Raw genomic sequence first — 22312 nt, 5'->3', positions numbered from 1 at the left:
TCACCTGGGGACCTCATTGGTGGTGGCAGCAGCAGCAGGATCAGGGGAACATTGCTCCAACCATGCGAATTGCTATATGTTTCTTGGGCTTAAAATAAATCATTAGTAACTTCCCAGATGGTGAAGCAGCTTTCTACAACCCAGAGGCAACTGGAGATGCTGGAGACTGGTTAATCTGCTTAGTATGCTGGAACATGGGGAGGTCTTTAAAGTGACAAAATTGACTTAGGACCTCTTTAAAGTGGCAAAGGACTTAATAACATGAGTCGATGAAGTCAACCATGAAGTGCTCTCGAGCTGTAGTGACTCAAGATGACGGTTATTCTTCATGAAGATTCTTTCCCTTACCAGCTGATTCAAGGTTTGCCCCTCATTTTAAAATTCTGTCGATTTGCCTTTGCTAGGCAGAAATTCTTGGGTTTTTTCATGGGTATCATTCAAATATTACAATTCATCGGACCCACCTATTGCTCTTTGACTTAAACAAGTCCCAGGAGAACAAAAGCCCTCAAAGAATATGGATATGTGCAGTGCATGCTGGTTGAATTATAAACAGGAAGAGGTTTCCGTGGGATGTATTTTTTAATGAGAACACATTGTTATACTCTGAGTACGTGGCATTCTTGCTTGATAGAAACATTTACAAGGACACATACACATTTATATCCAAACATCAAATGAAGTAGATATTTTAAATGACCAGTTCGCACAAGAAATAAAATATATTATACAAAACATGGGTTATATCCACAGTCATTAGTTCTCCTTTTCTACACAAAACAGCAATAAATTAAATCACATTATATGCAAATAGTTAGTTGTACATTAGAACAATAAACAGTATGTAACGTGTGCAGCTTTTACTTTTACTTTTCTACCAGACTCATGATAGATTTGTACTGTTTGGTAGTCCTGTATTTAAATCAACAATGAATAATGTGACCCAGAAGACAGGGGTCACAGAATTGGTCTGTCACAAGGTCTATCCCATGTCCTCTTGGTTTCAATTATCCACCATGCACAGGGAACAAAGCTCAGATTCCCAGGACCCAACACAAAGGTCTGCAACGAACAAACTCACAGCAACTCCATGCTGTTCAGGGGCTACTTCATTGTTGTCTTATAAGATGTTGAAGATTTTCAGATCTTGGCAATAAATAATGAAGAGGCCACCCTGTTTCCAAATCTGAATTTGCCTCTTTTTTAGCCATCTCTGTCCAACTATCATGCACCGTGACAGCTTTGTTCTCCTAGCAAATAAGAAATATTTTGGTAGCCTATGTTGTGATTTACACTTGGTAAGTAGGCCCTTTATTCCTTGTGCATAGAAATTTAGGTCTTTAAACATGAATCAAAGCAATGCAGCATTTTTGCTAACACTTAATTCTGCTTGTTCAAATCTCTCCCCTATGAATCATCTCCCACTGATATATCACAGAGCTATTATAAAATGGATTTTTACTCATGAGATCTGGCTCCCATTGAAACACTTCCATTGTGTTTGAAGTCACTTAAAACTTGAACACTGACAGCATCAGCTGGTTTAGAATACTTTGCATTTGGTATGAATTAACATTAGTGGTTAATGAGAAATTTGAACAAACTCCAATCCAGCACCTTTTGGAAGTTATTTTAATCCTGCAGTCTAGCTGTGGGGTATGCCTGCAAGAGATATTTATGGAATGTGCATGCTGAACACCAAAGCCAGGCTTGTTGGAGTTTATGCACATCACAGGCTTGAACTTCCCCGAGAGCAAGTGTGGTCAGGTTAGCATAAGGGTTCTGATGAAAAGCCAGCTACATTCTTAAAACCAGCACTAGTTTCTCTTTCTTCCCCCGAGGAAGTATGGAGGCCTACTCACAAATTTCTACCTGCATGGGCAAGATGCTGACACATCCTTGGAGTGATGCTGAATGTGGATGTGGGTGGAGGGGCAGAAGGGGCAGTAAAGACAGTGGCAATGGGCAAAGCTACCCTCTTCTATTTCTGTTAGAGGATCAAGCTTCTGATTCTTCTTGCTGAGTATGGCTGTTGAAGGGGCACTAAATTATTGATTATTCTTGAGTTCTAAAGACAACTGAAAAAGAAGCTGGTCCCTCTGAACACCATCATCTCATTCTCTCCGCTTCCACAATTGCCTCTAAAATATATCCCGTGTTTTTAGACAGTTTCAGTTTTTTCCACTGAATAAGAAATTCAGCTCATTACCAACTTCCTCATGTAGCCCCAAACCATGGGGTGTGATTAAATAAAACCCATGAAATGTCTGTAGGTCGAGGGGCCTAATTTGGGCTGACATTTACTCTCATGTCTGCATCCACTCAGGATCTGAGTGCTTTGTGTCCCAAGAAACACAGGTACTTGTTCCTTCCAGTTTATAAACACTCACAGTGGCATAATACTCTATTTGATCTCCCAAAGAGATTTCCACAAATAGCCAGTGTATACTGGCTTACAAGAAGGTAGTGACGCCACTGGAACCTACTTTCTGAATCCATCACTATCTGCATGAGATCTATGCAATGGCCTTCATCTCATTGTTGACTGCATGTCTTACACACACACACCCAAAATCAGCCATAACTAAAAGGAAAGTGATGCATTTGGGGCAAAGAAGGCACATGTGCCTTGAGTAAATTAATGATTTTAGAAGCCTGTGAATAGGGAGAAGTGAGGGCATTCCAAAGCAAACGTCTTTGAATTTAAGAGAAAGGAGAAAAGGAGGTGTTCTTTTCCCATGCATTTCTCTCTTCCCTCCATTAAACATGGGTTCTGAAATGTGAAGAATTATAGTAGGGTCTGTAGAACCATTCCTGTGGTTCAAGAAAAGACAAGTTGATGGTTCTTCAGAGAAATGTGATGTTTTCAGGGACCTTCTCATGAAACCTGTGGTCAGTCTTGAGGGAGAGATGGACTCTATACAAAAAATTCTTTCCAGATTGAAGTTATCTGGGGAACGCTTTTATTTCTGAGTCTCCCCCTACCTGGCCCCCCTACCCAAAAATCTAAGAAGACAATGATGACCATAAGACAGACACTTATTTCCAACACCAAAAAGCATCTACGCATTTTGACCTGTATCAATGTCAGCTGAAGTTTGACTGGATGAGAAAATACTGATAAATTATCCTTTTTGAAATCTGAACACCCTGGATTTCAGGGTAAAATCCTATAGAATTACTTAAGAACTAAAGCCCTATTTATTTTACTATATGACATGTGACTACTAGTAGAGTATGAATTACTAGTTGTCAAAGATGTTGCTTAGCAGTTAGGAACGTAAATCCCCAAATATAATCATGAGAGACCTGAATCCAGGGTAACCATGGGCCAGGCACCTACATTTTTAACCAAGGTTTCCAACTTAATGGAATTTTCAAAACCTAACAGAGTTTTTGTAACCCATATGCAGATTTCAAAGAAAAAAAGTAGATGACTGACATGTAAATAAGCAATCAATATTAACATAAGAATTGATTTTAAATTGGTATAGCATCCAGAAACCTCATGATTTGTTCTGCCACTTTTAGAATACTAAATGCTCACTTATCTCTAAGATCTTATCTAGAGCTATCATATTAAGTTTAGGACTATTCCTCTACCTGAAGTTAAAATAGAATATATTTGCTCTAAAAATGTTAGTGTTAATGGGCTGCTATAGAAGTTTTAAAAAGGTTAGAAATGTTTATACTCAAAGACTGCAACCAGGTAGATTATTTTTCCCCTGTAATAAGCACATAGACTTGAAATGTAAATGCTTTTTACAAGCACAAGATAAGAGAAAATGAATATCTCTAAAATATAAAGAAAACATCATTGAAAAATAAAAATGAGAGAGAAACAAGCTCTCCAATTCAAGTAAGTAAGATGGACACAATCCTTCCTTGCTGTTTCACTTTGGGGAGTCCCAAGTGGTACAACGCTTTGCTTGCCTGGATTTTACTTCTCAAACTCTCTTCCTGCACTAGAACTTCTGGAGTTTGCCCTTCTTGCCTTCTTCTTCCATCCTTTTTGGAATTCGACACTTTTTCCTTTGCATCCAGCATGGAGAACTACAACATAGTTGTTTCAGTTGATCACACTTAATTCTTTTATCACGCCCTCTCAGCTGCCTCCCAGCTCCCATTTCTTAAACAACAGAAGGGAAATGTGCCTCACACAGAAATAATCTGTTAACTGTGACTCAGGTGGGAGCAACAGAAGCGGACTTCTCCAGGGAAGCACTCACACATGGGCCAGCATCTGGGACAGGCAGCTTGCGCTTACCTTTGCCTCCACTGTTACTTGTGTGAACTACCACCTTCATCGCCACCAAGGGATTGCTCAGACTCTCCTGTTTCCTCACTAGACATGCCTTTTAATAGATATTAAGACAATTTTTTAAACTATTTTTCAGATGCTCAAAATGTTATTGAGGAAAGACCCCAGTTATGTAATTCCAAGACGGTGCACTCTCATGACAGCTTCCCATTCCTCCCTCACTGTCTATCTTCTCCATAAAGTATAAGTGAAAGTAGTAACCTGAGTTTAAACTCATGTTGCAGACTACTGGGTGCAAAGCAGATACCCAGTAAAAACTTACTCAACTTTGTCCAAATTCCTTATCTCCACACCTAACCCACTATTACAGGTATTCATGGATGCCTACAAAGTTCTGTGGAGTTAACTGAAAGGGAATAGAGTAGATATTTAGGTTCCCTCTTTTAAACAAAATAATCACTGGGAATTTTGGTAAATGCCATGTGTAAAAGTTTTAAATTTGTCATTTCTGTGCTTGCTGTCAAGTAGTAACTCTCAACAAAGTTGTTCTTGAGGGAAAAGGGCTGCCTCCCTTTATAAAACTGTTTAATTCTAATAACTTTTTACTCTTGATCTTGAAACTCATGATCTGGCCAGAACTGGAAGGAGTGTCACCCTAAAATAACTTGCATTTAAAACAGTTAAACAGTAAAAACGCAAAAGAGTTAAAATGTTGATGTATTCCTGTAGAGTTTGTAATCTGAATACATTTACACATCTCTGTAATTAAAGCAGCAATTAGCATTTGGCTGTGGCCAAGGGAAAAAGGGAAACAGGGAGAAAAAGAGAAGTATTTTTTATCATTATTGGTTTGTTGTACACTTCACCCATGCTTTTAAAATGTAAGCAACATTTAATCTTCAAAATGAAAAAATAGACAAATTTTTCTAATACCAAAATATAAGATTAAAATACTTGTAAAATAAAATGTTAGTGCGAAATAGGGCTTTTTTTTTTTACATCAAAAAGGAAATATTTTTGACTTGCTTTTCTTCTGTAAATCCTCCCATCTCACTAATATTTACAACAATCCAGAGTAGCGTTTATGAGACACTGAAAAAGACAGGGAGGAAATCCTTTTTCAAGATATGAAGTCAGAACCTGAATGTAGACATCGGACAGAGAAGTCCTCAACCACAAACCTGTCCTCCAGCTCTAGAGAGAGTAAGGCTGTATTTCCAACCTTGAGATTTTTCATTACATTTTCCCCTTTTTGGGTGTTAAATTCTTTCCAAGAATGCTGTACTTGTAAAAATGATTTTATTCTAGCTACAAAACATTTCATTTAAGAAAACCGCATTTTATATCCTTGTGTGAAATGCTCCCAAAAGCCATCAAGATATGGAGACAACAGATTTTAAAAACATAAATCTAATCATATGGGCTTGAAACAGTATGAACATTTAACAGAGTGACACGATATCATTATTATATTTGTTTGTCATGAGATGAAAGGCCTGGAGGCAGATGGTGATTAATCATAATTCCTGAGCTTCTACAGAAATTTTAAAATGAAATTACTAACTGCTTAAAATTATGAATTCTTCAAGAACGCCCCTTCTGTTTCATTGATGTCTTTCAACCCGTCTATCTCCTTAAAGAATCTCAGGCAGAAAAAAAAAAAGTGGGGGGCTTCCTTTAAGCTACTGAAAAATGGGATCTGATGGAATCTTCCCGTAATTCCCGATGTTTTCCAAGGTTACTTTCTTCTTGCTGGGTTCGCCTCTCAATGGTTATTCTGTATTTCTTCCTGGGTAAAGGGAAAGTGAATGTGGTAATAAAACTTGGCTACAAAATACCATGGTTTCTCTTACAAAGAGTGCCCTCAAGGGACATCTGGGTTTCAGTTGATAAATGAGAAGTGACAGAATATGAAACCCTGGTCAGAGATTAAAGTAGTGTGCCCCCAGGCATGGTGCCCTTATTCAAGAGAGAAAATTGGCATGCTTTCCCAAATACCACAGAACAAGCCTTCCCCTTCTTCCCTGGGTGCCTTGGGGGTTAGGTCTTGTCTATTAGGCTACAGAAGTTCTCCCTGATTCCCAGGATATGCCCTTGATAAAGATCAAATTACATGTACTGTGGCCAAAGGAACAGGAATACAATTGTTCCCACAAAGGGTCACATATGCCTAGTTACAATCCCATGCAGAAATAAAGAAACCTTGCTCTAATGACTTATGAATAAACCACAAACTCAACCACCAAAGATTACAAAGGAATGGGCCACCCTCACGGGGCAGAACAATCAGTACCAGTGCACACACGTACATTATTACAATTTTGCAAGCCTTGGAGCTTAACCACAGTGGCAAATGAGCATGTGGGCTCTCCAGATACTGAGCACAGATCAGCCTGAGAGCATGGGCTACGCAAAGCTCCCTCCTCCTCTTTAAGGTGAGCCCAGGCATCTATTTCTGAATTGGAGAAAGCCTGAGAAGGGGGAAGTTGATTTCCCCCTTTATCCAGATTCCCTCCCCACTGCTTCACTTGGTGGGTGGTAGGAATTCTTGTCAGAATATCTGTGATCAAAGGGCTAGACACAGTGGCTCACACCTGTAATCCCAGCACTTTGGGAGGTCGAGGTAGATGGATCACTGGAGGTCAGGAGTTCAAGACCAACCTGGCCAACATGGTGAAACCCCATCTCTAATAAACATACAAAAAATTAGCCAGCCATGGTGGTCTGCACCTGTAGTCCCAGCTCCTCGTGAGGCTGAGGCAGAATTGCTTGAACCCAGGAGGTGGAGGTTGCAGTGAACAGAGATCGTGCCACTGCACTCCAGCCTGGGTAACAGGGGGACTGAGACTCCGTCTCAAAAAAAAAAAAAAAAAAAAAAAAAAAATCTGTGATCAAAGGGCAGCAGCAGCTCTCTGTCCCACTGTGAGATGTAGTCAAAACCCATGACCCTGGCACCCAGTATGCTAAACCACTGACCACACCAAACCTGGGGTCCTGCCAAAAGAATGGCTGAGATTTTTTAACCACCGTGCTTCCTGGGTGAAAGAGGGATGTGGACAAATCACAAAGAGAATCATGTAAAATCAAATGACAAAGACAGCAGAAGAGAGTGAATTGTACCTTTACAAACCGTCCTCACCTGAAAAAGTAGAAGGCCATTAGCAAGCCAGCTCCTAGTAAAGCCCCCACGACAATTCCTGTCACTGCCGATTCTTCTAGGCCACCTGCTTGAAAAAGAAGCATGGATAATCAGGGTTCATTTGGAGATACAGTTAGAAATGCCTCGAGTTTCATTCATTGCAAGAAGTTCCTCGATTTCCCATTGGAGGCAACTTTTCCTTTTTCAGAAATATTTTCTAAGGGACCCTACACTTGTTTTTTGTTTTATGTTTTTGTTTGTTTGTTTTTGCCCAGTGCAAAGCTTAAGAACCACTTGAGAAAGTGCCAGATAAACAAAAACACTATTAAGAGAGTGGACACAGTGAGAACAGAAGAAAATTCAAGAATCAGAGGAAAACTGGAACTGAAGATTTCAGATATAGCCACTCTCTTTTGAGTTTAAAGTCAAAGAATTGGGAGGCCAAGGTGGGTGGATCACCTGAGGTCAGGAGTTTGAGACCAGCCTGGTCAACATGGTGAAACCCTATCTCTACTAAAAATACAAAAATCAGCTGGGTGTGGTGGCAGGCACCTGTAATCCCAGCTACTCAGGAGGCTGAGGCAAGAGAATCACTTGAACCTGGAAGGTGGAGGTTGCAACGAGCCAGGATCACACCACTGCACATGAGTCTGGGTGAGACAGCAAGACTATCTCAAAATAAATAAATAAAGTCAAAGAAGACAACCAGATGGACCAGGGCACTGACCCAGGGCTTCTTATTTTCACAGATGGATGGTGACACTTCAAAGTGCTAGAAGATTTGATGAAAAATTCATTGGGTCAATGTTCTGTTTTTAGATGTTCTCTCACCAAAGCCAGCGTTTCATGTCAAAATGTCCTACATAGCTTTGGAAAATGTGGATAACAATTTGAAACAATCAAGTTCAGTAGTATCCCAGTTATATAAAAGTGATAAATAGCTAACTTGTATCTAGAGTTTAGTACGCGGCCCTTCAATGTGTTATCTTGTGTAATCCTCAAAACAGCCCTCAAAACGCTTAGGTGGGCACATTTCTTTCTCTTCACACATTGGAAAACTGAGGCTTAAAAAGCTGAAGGAAGACTCCTAGGGTCACAAAACCAGCAAGTAACAACAGTGGGATGTCAAATACAGGCCCAGTCTCCCCAGTGTGTTCTTAAAACACTTCCTCCTTAATTCCTTCCCATAATTATTGCATAGACATAAATACCTAACAGTTTAAAAGATATTTTCAAAAGCACACATATATTAGCCTAAAATGATCAACTGGCCTCCTGAAGGACCTATATTCACTTTGTTCTCCCTCACTACCTTATTCTCTAAAACAATTATTTCTAACAGCTTTCCTATTTGTAAGCTACTTATGAGAACATCCAATTGCTTCTCTACTTATATACAAAGCTGCTCATAAGTAATACATCTTACACTTATTTGCCAATGTGTAAATGTTCAGATGTTTAAAGGATGTTATCTCTTTGGTTCTGAGGAGCTGGAAAGTAACCACAAACTTGAAAAATCAGAACGAGACTTGCTGTGACAGATGAATAAGGGAGTGATATTTACTAATTGATATTTTGATTTTCTCTAAAAGTGGAAACATGACCTAGCCAAGAGATTATAGTAAGAGATGTAAAAATAGGAAGAAACATTCTACCATTGTGGAAGAGAAGACTGGAAGGGAAGGAAGACCTGAAAGATGCCAGTTTGTGAACTGTTCCCATGCGTTTTACCACATCAGAGAAAGAAATGTAAAATTCCAAAATGTAAGGCCCTAGAAACACTTGGGTTTTAAACTTACATTACACTGAGGTTAGAGGTGATGACATACATAGCAAATTAAGTCTCCAGACTTACATGATTTGCAGGGAGAGCTGTTTGTATGCTCTACAATTCGGTTTTCATCTATTCTCAGTTTTAAAGGGCCCCAAGGATATTTGACATTCGGCCGCATTTCAAAACGACCTTCTTTTCCAAAATAATCACCAATAACCTATATAGAGGCAAAAAACAAATAGACAAACCAAAAAGTCAAAGGAGGCACAAAGCTCGCAGCCTTCCACAGCTATTCCCCAAAATGTACAGCCTGATCTAAACTGGCTGCCTCTGGGCATTTCATCAAATCACCGTCTCCAGGGCAAGGACAGCAAGTGCTTCAGAAAAGCGTGGTACATTGGGCACGTTCCTCGGTTGTCCACACTGATGGTCATGGTGTGTTCTGGGGACTTCACAAGTCAAGATTTGAAGTCGCTGATGGTGCTCTCAAGAGAGCATTAAGAGCGGTCGTGCCAGAGCAGGATGTGGGAAGCGGTGAGAGTGGTGTCCCCTGGGCTCTGCACTCACTGAAGGCCCAGCCCTGTCAGTGCTGCCCCTAGGATTCTTCAGTCACTACCCCCTCGTGGAAAAGGAATAATCTCGGAATTCCCGGCTTTTGCTTTGTTCATCGGATAAGGCACTATCCCACCCATCTGTCCCAGAGCAGCCCACCCCGTCAGCCAATTGTAAGGCCCAAGTTACTTTCAGGGACATGTGAAGGACAGCCAGGGTCCACCGTATACCCGATTTAAGCATATGACAGGTACCCAGCCTCACAGCCCTCAATTGTTCAACATATAATTAAAGAGCGTCTTTCAGGAACCTCCTGTTTCACCACTTCCGGTTGCCAGACTATTTCTTCAAGAGTTGCACTCTCCTCTCTGATGAACCCACCCTATGTGCACCCCCATTTCCAGGCAGAATTCTGTTTCTCTTAATTGGCTCCTCTGGCCCCTGGAAAATCATTATTCTGTTATGGTTTAATTCCATGGTCATCCCTCAGTTTCTGGTTAAAATGATTGTTGGATCAGCTCCCTAAGCCCCAGTCTAGAAGTGCCTTCCCACCCAGGTTCTTGGAAGTCATTTCTCTTTTGTCTGAAAACAAGCGCATGGCTCTCGAGTGGCTGGTGACATCTCCCCTTCTCCTGACAGAGGTACAGCAGGTTCTCACAGGCCATGTCAGGTCTAGAGGAAGTCTAGATCGCCACCAAAATATAACAATCACTGGCGTGTACTGAGCACTTGCCAAGGGCTTTATACACCTCCACCCCTGCAACCTCACAATGGACTCTGATGAACTGTCGCTACCCACCTTTCCCAGGGGGAACCAGAAATACAGATGAGACCCAGACCACTCAGTGGGCAAAACAATCATTCATTAAACATAGCGAGGGTGACTCCTGCTGCTTCAGAACTTCCCACAAGAGCCAGGCATCTATTAGGTTGGTGCAAAAGTAATTGAGGTTTTGGTCATTAAAAATAAATAATTAAAAATAATGGCAAAAGCCACATTACTTTTGCACCAACCTGATACATACAAAGAGGAAAACAGCAAGTCCCATATGCCAGGTCCCATGAAGGGCACCGGAGCAATGCCCTGGGAGCCAGCGATCAAGGAAACAGAGGAAGTGGCATTCTTTGCTGAAGAACTGCATATTTGTATAATTGTATATGTATATTTATAATTTAAAATGTAGATAGTACTTTTCTAGGTTTCATTTGATCTGTTCCCCTTAACAATAATCATGTGACATCAGCCAGGAAGACATGATGATTTCCATGTTACAGCTGAGGAAACTGAGGCAGAGAGTTCACACTCCCAAGCACGGAAGACTCATCTTTGTGTCCAGGGCCCTCTTTTCCCTTCATGATGTTATCCTGAAACTACATCATCTTTGGAAATGTTAACACACATTGAGTTTGTAACCACCCACCCTCCCACTCCCCCTCAGAAAAGCTCAAATCTTAAGGGAGGAAATAAAGTTTCACTTTACTGATTTTACCCGATGACCCTCATCCACAAGACTAAGGTGTGATTCTTGGCCACTTGAAGGGTAGGATTTCCTCATTTAGAATAAACAAGGAACCATTTCCTGAAGTCTTCCTTGAACCCTCAATCAAAAGTTGAGGTTTTTCAACTCATTTTTATTTGGAAGCTGCATTGGAGACAGCTCTTTGGCCACCAGAACAAATGCATTCCTCAGAGTCCCCACGAGCAGAAGGAGCAACTGGTGCAGAGGTCTCACGTGCTCACCTCCTGGGTGCCCGCCTCCACATCAGTCATGGCAATCACAGAGAAATCCCCATATCGGTCTCCGTTGGCATCTATGGACACCTGCCCGGCGATACCTACAGGACCAGAAGCGAAGAACTCAACGTTGGTTACTTAAAATACCTCTGTCTGCCAACAAAAACAAGAAAATGAATTGGCAGGATTTTTTAAACAAACTCATGCCACAGGGAATCTCATCAGACTCTGAGCATTTTTGTTGGCATTTTGGAAAGACATTGTAATTTCATCTGCGTCTGCATTCCTAAATTCTTAACATTTCTCCATTTAAAAATGAAAAGAAAAAGAAATAAATGATCTTCTTTGGGGGATATGTTTGAAAAAAGATTAAGGCTAATCCTGAAAGCAGCATGCTTATCCCAGAGTTTTGTATTAATTTTTTTTAATCGCAGAGTTAGAAGTGGAGGTGGGGTACATTTATAGATTTGTCATGGGTTTGCGTTATCATTGGATGAACATTATAATAGAAAAATCATTCCAGCCCAGGACTCAGTGAATGTGCTTTTCTCCAGGCTGCTTTAATACACAGGAGAGCAGCAGGCCTGCTTTGTGGGTCACTGGAGCCAATAGCTAAGAAGAACTATTCTTCTTTATCTTGGTTGAGTTCTTCGCTAATTGTTTATCCAAACATTCTCTGGACGCTTAGTACTGAATTAGTGCTGCAGCTGAGGCAAAGATAAATTGAACACATTCTCTGCTCTAGAGAGGGGCAGCCTGGACTGGGGATTTAGCTTGTTCACATCAGAATCTAACCACTTGCATTAAAATCCCAGTTTTTACATTTACATAGCTCCATGACCTTGGACAAGGAACTTAGCCCTCTAAGCCTCAGTCTCCACAACTGTAAAATGGGCATAATAGTACCTCCCTACCAAGAGGCTTTGGAGAAGATTAAATGAGACAAAACAAATAAAGCACTTTCAGCACATTTAAGGGAAGTTAATTGTTTTCATCTACTGTCGTTATTACTGTCACTATTATTACTACTATTTATTTTATAATTGTTCTTGGTAGAGAAGACCCAACTGTACCCACATCACTCAGAGGAGGAGCCAGCACAACAAGTTGGAGAATCAGGGAGGACTCAGTGAAAGAGTGGGAATTTTATAGGGATGTTGGAGGAAGTCTAAGATTGGGCAAGCAGTAATCAAGAAGTGGGAGAGAGGCTGAAAGGCTGGCCTAGGTGTATCTGCCAAGGCACAGAGGCCCAAAGAGACCAGAAGAATTGTGAGATTTCTGGGAAGATGGCCCATGTGGACAAAGGGAGTCAGTGACACGTAAGGCTGGAACGGGGTGGCCAGAGAACGGAGGGCCTTGGGTATCCACTTGCTTTGGCCTATAATGGTGGCTCAGAGCAACTAATCAATAAAAGCAAATATATCATCGGCTGATATTAAGTATGTCTATGTCATAATTTTCATTCACTAAATAAGAGAATGCGTACATCAGCCCCATTTTAATTAACTAAAGCTATTCCCTTTTCAACTGGGGAGAGTTCAGTGTAATTCTTAATTGGCATTTCTATTGATTTGGTTCTCTGATTTGGTTCTCTCTGGAGGTACTGACTCCTCAAGTAAAATGAATGTCTGGGAAAAAGGATCCCAAGGGAAAGTTCCAACCTCTAGTGTGGCTTGGAGAGGGCATGTATGTGGGTTTACTGTCCTTTGGGTTGTGGTTTGAAGGCCCATTGATTTTTCCAGACTTTGGTCTACTTTACCAGAAACAGAATGGAAGCTACCATTCACTTTGATTTTTTTGTCTTCTTAAAATAGACTGGTTACAAAGGGTACACCTACCATAAACTTGTGTATCCTTGACAGCCTATAAAACTCTTAAGTGATAAATAGGCTTAAAATATATTTGTATATTGGCTATCCAAAACCATTTGTCATTCTATTGAGAGATGTTTGTGATGTTGTGTCCTGCTAAGCATTTTGCAGAGTATTTTATAAGATGAGGTGGCCCTAGTAATTTAAGACCTCATTATACCTTTAAGCTATTGCAATTCTGCCAAGAAATGGGGTAAGAATCCTCAGCGTGGCCAATTAGCAAAGTGAGACTTCACCTGAGAGTATCGTACATAAGGTGAGATTTCCAGGCTTACAGTAGAATTTTCCTGTACATAAGTAATGAGACTTTCCACCCTATTTCTGTTTGGCTGTAGTGGAGCTCAAAGTTTAAGCCACAGTCCTATTTACCTTGTCACTCTGACCTCTCACACAGAGGAAATCCAGCTTCTTCCCAGGCCATTTATTGAAATGAGAGTTGATCACAGGTTTCATGGCAATAAAAGCCAAATTTGTCAAATCACAGTCAGAGTATTTTTCCCTTGACAACTTAATGGTCACTTAATGGTGACCATTCAAGTTAAAATTGTTTTCAATTTTAGGAAGGTTTGAGTTTTTCTTCATACAGATACCTTAGAGACCTTTTTAGGCCTACCCTCAAATGGACCATTGTTTAGCAAATAAAATGGGCTCTCCAAGCAATTCAAGCCAAAAACTTAGCTTGGCTTCAATTATCTTTACATTTAAACAAATGAGATTCTAATTGTAGACTGAACTACACAGTTGATTGTTTCAGGACTCATTTCATATTGCCTGTGTAGACCTGGCCCTAGAATAGAGACATCAAGATGGCCTATGGGAAAATTTAACCCATGCCCTGGCTCTAACCAAAATACATTCCAGCCATCATTGGCACCTACCCTCCCCTTCACACCCTCCCTCAGTGGCGCCCTCCAGCATCCCCCAACTCTGGCTCCTGTCCCTCTGTCAGAAGACCAAGAACAAATGACCACACCATGTAGTGAGTAATAGCTAAGAATGGGATGTGGCCGACCAAGGTTGTGTCCACAGATGCCAGGTTCTCAGTGTATTGTGCAAAACTTCTGGGAAATTTGGCTCTGTCCTAATATGCCCCCTGAATTATCCTATTGGATTCTAGCTCCTCAACTGAAGCAGTCAGAGGTAAAACAAGATAATCCTGGAGGTCTACTCACCCATGAACTACAATCTGTCTAATGCTAAGGGAGATCTCACTCTGGTTTTGAGTAAGACATGGCATCCACTAGAGAGAAATGAAATCTACCAATTGCCACCATAGATACTGCCCAGACAACTCTAGCTGGAGCTCAACCTCTCCCTACTGTCCTGTCCTGCCCTTTCTAAGAACTGAGGACAAACTAAGGGACAGGAGTCCCAACTGAAAAAATATGAGCCCCAAATCTAAACTTGTCAATATTTGCTCCTGCCATTGAAAAATGTCACTAGTTGGATTACAAATAGATATAGGCATACCCCAGTGCATTAAAGGGCTCAAAGGAGGAAGAGCAAGCACAATGTAAAACCGAAAGAGCTCTTGTCAGTCATTAACTAGACCAACCTCCTTATTATACAGGTGAAGAAAGAGAAGCTCAGAGGACAAGGTTACTAGTTAGTGGCTAGGATGCACTGAACCCTGGTTCAGCAATTTGTACCTTATGTTACCGGTTGTCAAGTGATACCCATAAGCATATATAGTTTATTTTCCACATAGCAGCCATAAGGACCCCTTTTAAACAGGCAAGGCAGATCATGTCACTCAAAAGCCTCAGGTGACTTTCTGTCTCACCCAGGTGGAGCCCAAAGACCTCAGCAAGGCTTGCAGGTCCGCATGATCTGGCCCCATTACCTCTCGGGCTTTGGCACCTATCACACTGCCTGTCAAACTTGGTGTCAGCCACATTAGCCATCTTGCTCTCTCTGGGGACACTCCACAGTCTCCCAGATGCACTCAGGATCTCCACGTTTGCCATTCCCTCTGGAGTGATCTCTCCTAAACATCTACAGAGCTTCCCTCACTTCCCTCGGGTCTCTACTCAACTTCACTCTCAGAGACCTTCCCTGACCACTCTAAACTAGCAGCCCTACTCCTCCTTGCCTGGCATTTTCTAGCTCCCTATCCTACCTTATTTTATAGCTCTGAAAGATATACTGTATTCATTGTTTGTTGCCTCATCCCCCCACTGGCATGTAAGCTCAAATGATTGCATAAAATGTCTTTAGTTCACTGCTGAATCCTCAGCACCTTGAACAGCACCTGGCACATAGTAGGTGCTCAATGAACATTTGTTGAATGAATAAATTAATATAGAGTTGATATCTGCAAGGCTCCTGCAGTGAGATCACTTCCATATTGAGTTTCATGTTCATTTTCATTGAGTGTTGGTGAGGTGAGAGGAAACTAGCACTCTTATATACACTGTTAGCAAGAATATAGATTAGCAGAACTTTCTGGAAGTTTTTGGCAATTTCTAATGCACTTTAAAAAGCACCAACATACTTTTGGACCCAGAAATCCCACAAGTAGCAATGTTCCCTGTTGGAAGGACTCACAAAAATTCTTCAAGATGTGCAAGAGGCTTGTGATAGCATATTGCATAATAGCAAAAATTGCAAAAAAAATTTTACAAGTGACCATCAATAGGAGATTGGTTAAAGAAATTCCTATACAGCCATACAGTAGAAAAATATGTAACTGTCATTTAAAACTGCATTGGATCTATGAGTTCTCATATGGAAAATTCTTTAACTTGACATACAAGTAAAAAACCTAAGATGAAAAATAGCATTCATACTATCACCCCTTTCATACAAATTTTAAGATAAGATATACAAATGCATATGTGCTGGCAGAAGGCTTAAAATATTTATACACAGAATCATAGGAAATCATTAATAGTGATACACAGTGGGGAGAGGGGACTAGGTTGGGAAGGAAAGTTTTCAGCTTTCAATTTGCACATTTTTGTACTGTTTAAATTTCCTAGCCAAGCATAGTCTTATCTTGTACAATTTTTCAGTGCCAACAGAAGTTGCTTGAGATGAGATAATGGGTCATTTTTTGTTGTTTTCCTATAGTTCCCTGTTATTAAGAAAGCTTGGGAGGCCAAGGTGGGTGGATCACCTGCAGTCAGGAGTTTGAGACCAGCTTGACCAACATGGTGAAACTCCATCTCTACTAAAAACACAAAAATTAGCCAGGCGTGATGGCACACGCTTGTAATCCCAGCTACTCAGGAGGCTGAGGTACGAGAATCACTTGAACCCAGGAGGTGGAGGTTGCAGTGAGCTGAGATTGCTCCATTGCATCCCAGCCTGGGCGACAAGAGCGAGACTCCATCTCAAAAAAAAAGAAAGCAAAAACTAACAGTCACTATTTTAAAAGTAAAATAAAAGCACTTTGGAAGGCTGAGATGGGTGGATCACCTGAGGTCAAGAGTTAGAGATCAACCTGGCCAACATGGTAAAACCCCGTCTCTACTAAACAATACAAAAATTAGCCAGGTGTGGTGGCAGGCGCCTGTAATCCCTGCTACTCAGGACACTGAGGCAGGTAAATCATTTAAACCTAGTAGGCAGAAGTTGCAGTGAGCCGAGATCGTGCCACTGAACTCCAGCCTGGGCAACAAGAGCAAAAACTCCGTCTCAAAAAAAAAAAAAAAATGCAGAGGCCTCAATTGAACCTGCTAATCATCTCAAACCACCAGGTTTAACTGTGACAGCTAATGTTTTCTGTGTTTCACAAAAACCAACATAGTCTGAACACATGAATGTATATCTGGGATTAATACTGGTTTTAAAACTCATCACAGAACTCTTCACAAACTGTCCTGTCATGCATGAGGCTTGTGTTCAATGCAATATTAAGAAGCATAGAGCTATTACCTAAATAATCAGGAGACAAGGCCTTTCCTCTTTCAGTGGGGCTTGTTCAAAGCACTTTCACGTGTATTATCTCATTTAATTGGTACAACAAGCCTATGAGATGGGCTGCTTTAGAGCTGAGAAAAGCAAGACGCTGGAAAGGCCCCACAGCTGCAACTGAGAAATACAGAACCAGAAAAGCAGCAGCTCATTTGGCCCCATGTAATTGCCTTATAGATGGAATCCCCACCTTCAAATGTTCTGTTCCAAGTCTGCTGTATAATTTTCCCTCCATCCTTTTTGCTGTAACCAGCTCTGAGTACTTCATGTAGAGCCAAGACGTAGAGGAGGATGGCATCGTGGAATCCTTCAACAAACATGTTAACCTGAAAAGAAAACCCCAGATGGGTGAACCAAAACACCAAGTGACTCATGCCAGGAATAAGATGAGCAATCCAAAGCGTTAACAAGTTAGACTTCAGGTCTGTTAGCCATGGCAGAGGTGGGCAGAAGGGGTACTGACAAGAATCACGCCATGACTTTCCTGGCATGGCTCAGAGGGGAAAACCCTTCCCCAGTTGGGGAATTTGGAAAGCCTCGTACAGAAGTCAAGAAAACTGTACCTGTTGACCAGGTCAAGTATTTCAAGTGTGCCCACCTTTGCCAATGGTCCCTTTTGGACAAGTCCCCTCCTCCTTCCCCACATCTGCCTCTATCTCAAGCTTATGTGAATTCAGCTTCCCCCTTGAGGTCTTCTCCACCTTCAACAGCCCCACGATCTCTTCATGCTCTGAACATGGAACATAACTAAAGAACAGTAGAGATCCATTCACTTATATTTAGCAACTGTTGATATCTACTAGAGTGCTGGTGCTATGGGTACAAAGAAGAGTAGATGTTGCAACTTCTGCCTGTCTGCCTAGCATTTGTGTCCTCTCTCCCATTAGTAATAATGTCTTAGTCTCTCTTTCCAATTTGTGTTTTGAGTACATCTAACCACTCCCTATCCCTACTCCCTGCCAAGCTCCAATGACAGGAATGGAAAACAGGCTTGGACTGTTGGTATATCCCAGTTGAGCCCTGACTCAAGTAAGCTAGCCCTTGCCCTCAGGAAACTTAAAGTTTCATAAACATAAACACTGGTCATGTGGACTTGGGGAAGTCACTTCATCTCTTTGAGCTTTGTTCTTTTCATCTGTATATTGACCATGAGACTAGTGCCTGCTTCAAGAGGGAATTGCAAGAATTCTATTAAATAAAATGTTTGGTATTATCATGCCTGGCACATATCAATTTCTCAACAAATAGAAGCCAATGCTATCATGATATTATGTGGGCTTTAAAGTGTTGGAGTCTGTGCTGTGTTCGAAGTCTGTTCAGAATACAGTACAAATACCAAAAAGGGAGTGGTCAATCTGATGGGTTGGAGAAGGGCGGGCAAGAGGGGCTTAACAGCAGTGAAAAAAAGTCGAACTGAGTTATGAAGATGAAGGGATGTTTCTCAAGTGAGGGCAAAAACACACAGTCAGGGCACATTCTCACAGCCTGGTGTATTTTGGGAAGTGCAAATGTTTTGCTCGGCTGGGAGCAGGAGAAACAGGGTCACACCAAGATGGAGAGGTAAGGAGAGTCAGATCATCGAGAATCTGGAGACCACACTGAGGAACTTGGACTGTCTTCAGTAGGCATCTAATCACTTTAGTTCACCCCTTACCTACATTAAAAGCAACCTTTGGTAAATTCTAATACCACATTTAAACCCATTATAACATTTATTGGATATGAAATGAGCAAATTGAATCTTGAAACACCAAGAGGTTTACAAAAAAACTCTGTACAAAAAGTACAAAAAATCCAAGCCTTCTCATTTCAGAAAAAAGTGTCAGTGATGAAATGCCAATGATGCAGAATGAACTGGGCATTCTGTAGATGACCACCTGGCATGGCTTAGTGGGGAAAACCTGCTACCCGCCCCATCTCTAGAAGGAAACCTCGTGGGAAGAGAGCTGCAACTGACCTTCTGCATCACCTGGTTCAGATACACAAACATTCACAAGATACGGTTCTGTGACTGGATCTACTTAACCTTATCCCACCCCTAGCTAGGATGGGGACTCCTGTTTGCATCCCGGAAGCAGATATTTCGTGTTTGCCAAAAGCTAGTGCCGAGAAGCAGTTTAGAAAAATGGTTAAAAATCCTCGCCCCCCCTTTCCAGTTCTGCCACTTCCTAGTTGTGTTCTGGTTTCCTCATCTGGAAAATGAGAAAAATTAACAGTACCTATTTCGTGGGGATGTCGTTAGGTTTAAAAAATTAATAAATGTAGAAGACTTCAAATAGTGTCTGGCAGAATCAGCATTCACTGTTAGCTTTTGTTGCTGTAATTGTCTAGAGATGGAGAATTATTAACCTAGAGATCCTGCTTAGTTTCAAATTATTAACACCAGTATTCAAAATAAAAGTGATTTTCTTACAGGTATCATGTATGTTATTGGCCCATTTTACACTCAGTAGGAGAGAAGCCTACTGTTCATGTTGTTTGTGCCCTAGACAGTTCTCTTTATTCCACAACACCAAGCTCTTAATTCCATCCCAGTATGACAAGTGCAGTTCAAGTGGTCATCTGCTGACCCTCTGCAAGAGGTGGAGGGTGGGAAAGAGTGCTGATTTGCAGGAGAGTTTGGAGTTAGCTGGCTGGACCCACAGTCCAGTCCTGGCGCTGACAGGTTACTTAATCTCTCTAATCTTCAGTTTCCTCATCTGTTAAGTGGAGGTTTAGTACCATCTCACTTCAGAGAGCTCTTCTGAGGATTAAATGAACTAGTGCATGTAAAACACCCAAACAGTTCCTGGGACCGTGGAAGAAACTGATAGATTCTGGCTCTTATTCTTAGCTGTCAAGCTTAAGTGTCAGAGTGATTATTTTCTCAGGCAAAGAAAAATAATGTAGAAATAACATCTACCAGTCAAAGATAATTTCTGCTCATTTGGCTATGCCAATTTGATTTTCCAAAGGAATATGAAATTTCCACTTAGGCCATGAAGTCATTATGGCTTGAGAAAGTCTTCATGCTGATGAATTTTAATAAGTGAACTGTAGCGGTGTAATTTCATTCTCAGTTCACTTTTTTTTTTTAAGTTTGAGGTCTATCTTCTCTTTGATAATTTTACAGAAGCCAGCCAGCTACAGAGGGAAGTCAGAGAATCACAGAGTCATGGCCTATGGGAGATGCCAGGTGCCCTCGGAAAGCTCTGATCAAATTCCCTTCTTACTTTGAGGACCCAAAGAGCATTCATTGCTCTCCTCAGTCTTCCCGCATTCTGTTCTTATTGTACAAGGGTTGTGCCCTGCAAGCTACTTGTTCCTGGGGTTCCTAAGACAGGCCTCGTTTAAATTGTGAAGCACCAGCCACCGGGCATCACCCATCCCCTTCTCGTCCTCCTCCTTCCATCCCATCCTCAAAATCCTAACCCAGGACCACCACGTTGATGTTGATCACCCAAAGCACTGACTGTGTGCCCCAGCACCATATCCTGTATAGCCCTTCCCCTTCCTTCCTTCTTGACATGCCCTCTGAGCTGCCCCCGCTACAATCCAGGATAGGAAGAAAGATTACGTGGTGGAGAACAATGAACTTGAGTTACTTTCGTCCTCGCAGGTTTAATGGTAGAAGGAAATAGACGGGCCCTGAATACACACCCAGGTCTGAAAATACATTCTAGCTTGATTTGCAAATGGATCGCAAAATTTACCTTCTCTCTTCTCAGGGTGGCTGAGTGTCTCCCTCTCCTGCCAAAATTAGCAGGAGAGCTGCTGACCCTGCTGAGGTTTGCTGGCACCCCGCCCACTGCGGGGGAGGTTTCATAACACCTACCCCACAGGACCTCAAGCCAGAAGCAAAGCCCCAGAGACCGGCTTTTCTTGAGAAGAACATTCTCACATCTACACGCGATTTTTAGTGGGAAGAAAGCCCATTAGCACATTGTAGACACTGAAAATTCGACGTGCAAATTAAGAAAAAAATAAGGGAGAAAAAAAAAAAACCATGTATGAAGTTAGCTTAAGAACACTTCCTATTGGCCCTCCAGGCTGAAAGGAACAAGGTCAGCTGGTATGTCCCCTGCCTCTGGACAGAACAACCCTTGAACCTCAAAGTCCAAGTCCTGACTAACACAGGTCATGCTGTCGTTATGCTGTTGTTACCTATCACAGGTAAACAACTGGGATTTCCCCACGGAGCAATCTGTTCTAGTAATTAGCATCCTTTATTGCCAGGAAGCTTTCCTTACTATCATCAGCCATAAGTCTTAATTAAGTTCCTACATGCAGCCATTTCCTCTGCTAGATGCTCAGAAAACTGGGAGAAGAGAACAATGCAGTTTCCAATCTCCACCAAACAGCACCACTGCTACCTACAAACAGGTAGATGGGCTCTGTGCATGCAAGTTACGAAGTTATGACATGGGCCTCGCTGAAAGCCAAGCTCCAGGGTAATCATTATTGGTGCTGTTTATCAAATAAAGTGGCCTTTCAACGAGATGAAAATCATTCACCATCTTCCACTCATTCTTGCCAAAACAAGGTAGCATGACAAGAGGGCGCTAACTCTCGTTCCTTTCATTTCTATTTTCTTTCTATTCCTTTTTCTTTTTCTTTTTTTTTTTGAAACAGAGTCTCACTTTGTCACCTAGGCTGGAGTGCAGTGGTGCAATCTCAGCTCACTACAGCCTTGACCTACCCAGTTCAAGTGTTCCTCCTGCCTCAACCCCACAAGTAGCTGGGATTACAGGTGTGCACCACCATGCCCGGTTAATTTTTGTATTTTTTGTAGAGATGTGGTTTCACCATGTTGCCCAGGCTGATCTCAAACCAGAGCTCAAGTGACCCGCCCACCTTAGCCTCCCAAAGTGCTGGGATCACAGGCATGAGCCACTGTACCAGGCCTGTCATCTCCATTCTCTTGCTTCTGTCCTTTGCAGCTGGCCAGAATGGAAGAACACTGTTTTGCCCCGGCCTTCCTCTCTGATAGCACCTGCCAGCCACATTGATTTATTAGTGTTTTTTTAGATCCTCTATCATGGGGAGAGCTGAATAGAAATCCTGTTGTTGCTGCTGTTTATCT

At 41.7% G+C, this 22312-nt stretch overlaps 1 protein-coding gene across 6 annotated transcripts in view; it reads right to left on the bottom strand.

Annotated features, from left to right (window-relative positions):
• NPR3 (natriuretic peptide receptor 3) overlaps positions 564-22312 on the bottom strand; it is a 100849-nt gene continuing 79100 nt past the window's right edge. For 4 of the 6 annotated variants that reach the window (NM_001364458.2, NM_001363652.2, NM_001364460.2 and 1 more), the window contains 5 exons: positions 17441-17576; positions 11468-11562; positions 9256-9391; positions 7401-7488; positions 564-6050 (listed from right to left, as the gene is read on the bottom strand). In NM_001364458.2, the coding sequence (NP_001351387.1) occupies positions 5939-6050; positions 7401-7488; positions 9256-9391; positions 11468-11562; positions 17441-17576 (567 nt within the window). In that variant the 3' untranslated portion in view covers positions 564-5938. The remainder of the gene's footprint in view (positions 6051-7400; positions 7489-9255; positions 9392-11467; positions 11563-17440; positions 17577-22312) is intronic. The other 2 variants (NM_001204376.2, NM_000908.4) reach the window with 1 other exon arrangement.

The sequence above is a fragment of the Homo sapiens genome, chromosome 5 (genome assembly GCF_000001405.40).
Source record: "Homo sapiens chromosome 5, GRCh38.p14 Primary Assembly".
Lineage (NCBI taxonomy): Eukaryota > Metazoa > Chordata > Mammalia > Primates > Hominidae > Homo > Homo sapiens.
This window is presented reverse-complemented; position numbering and strand designations above follow the sequence as displayed.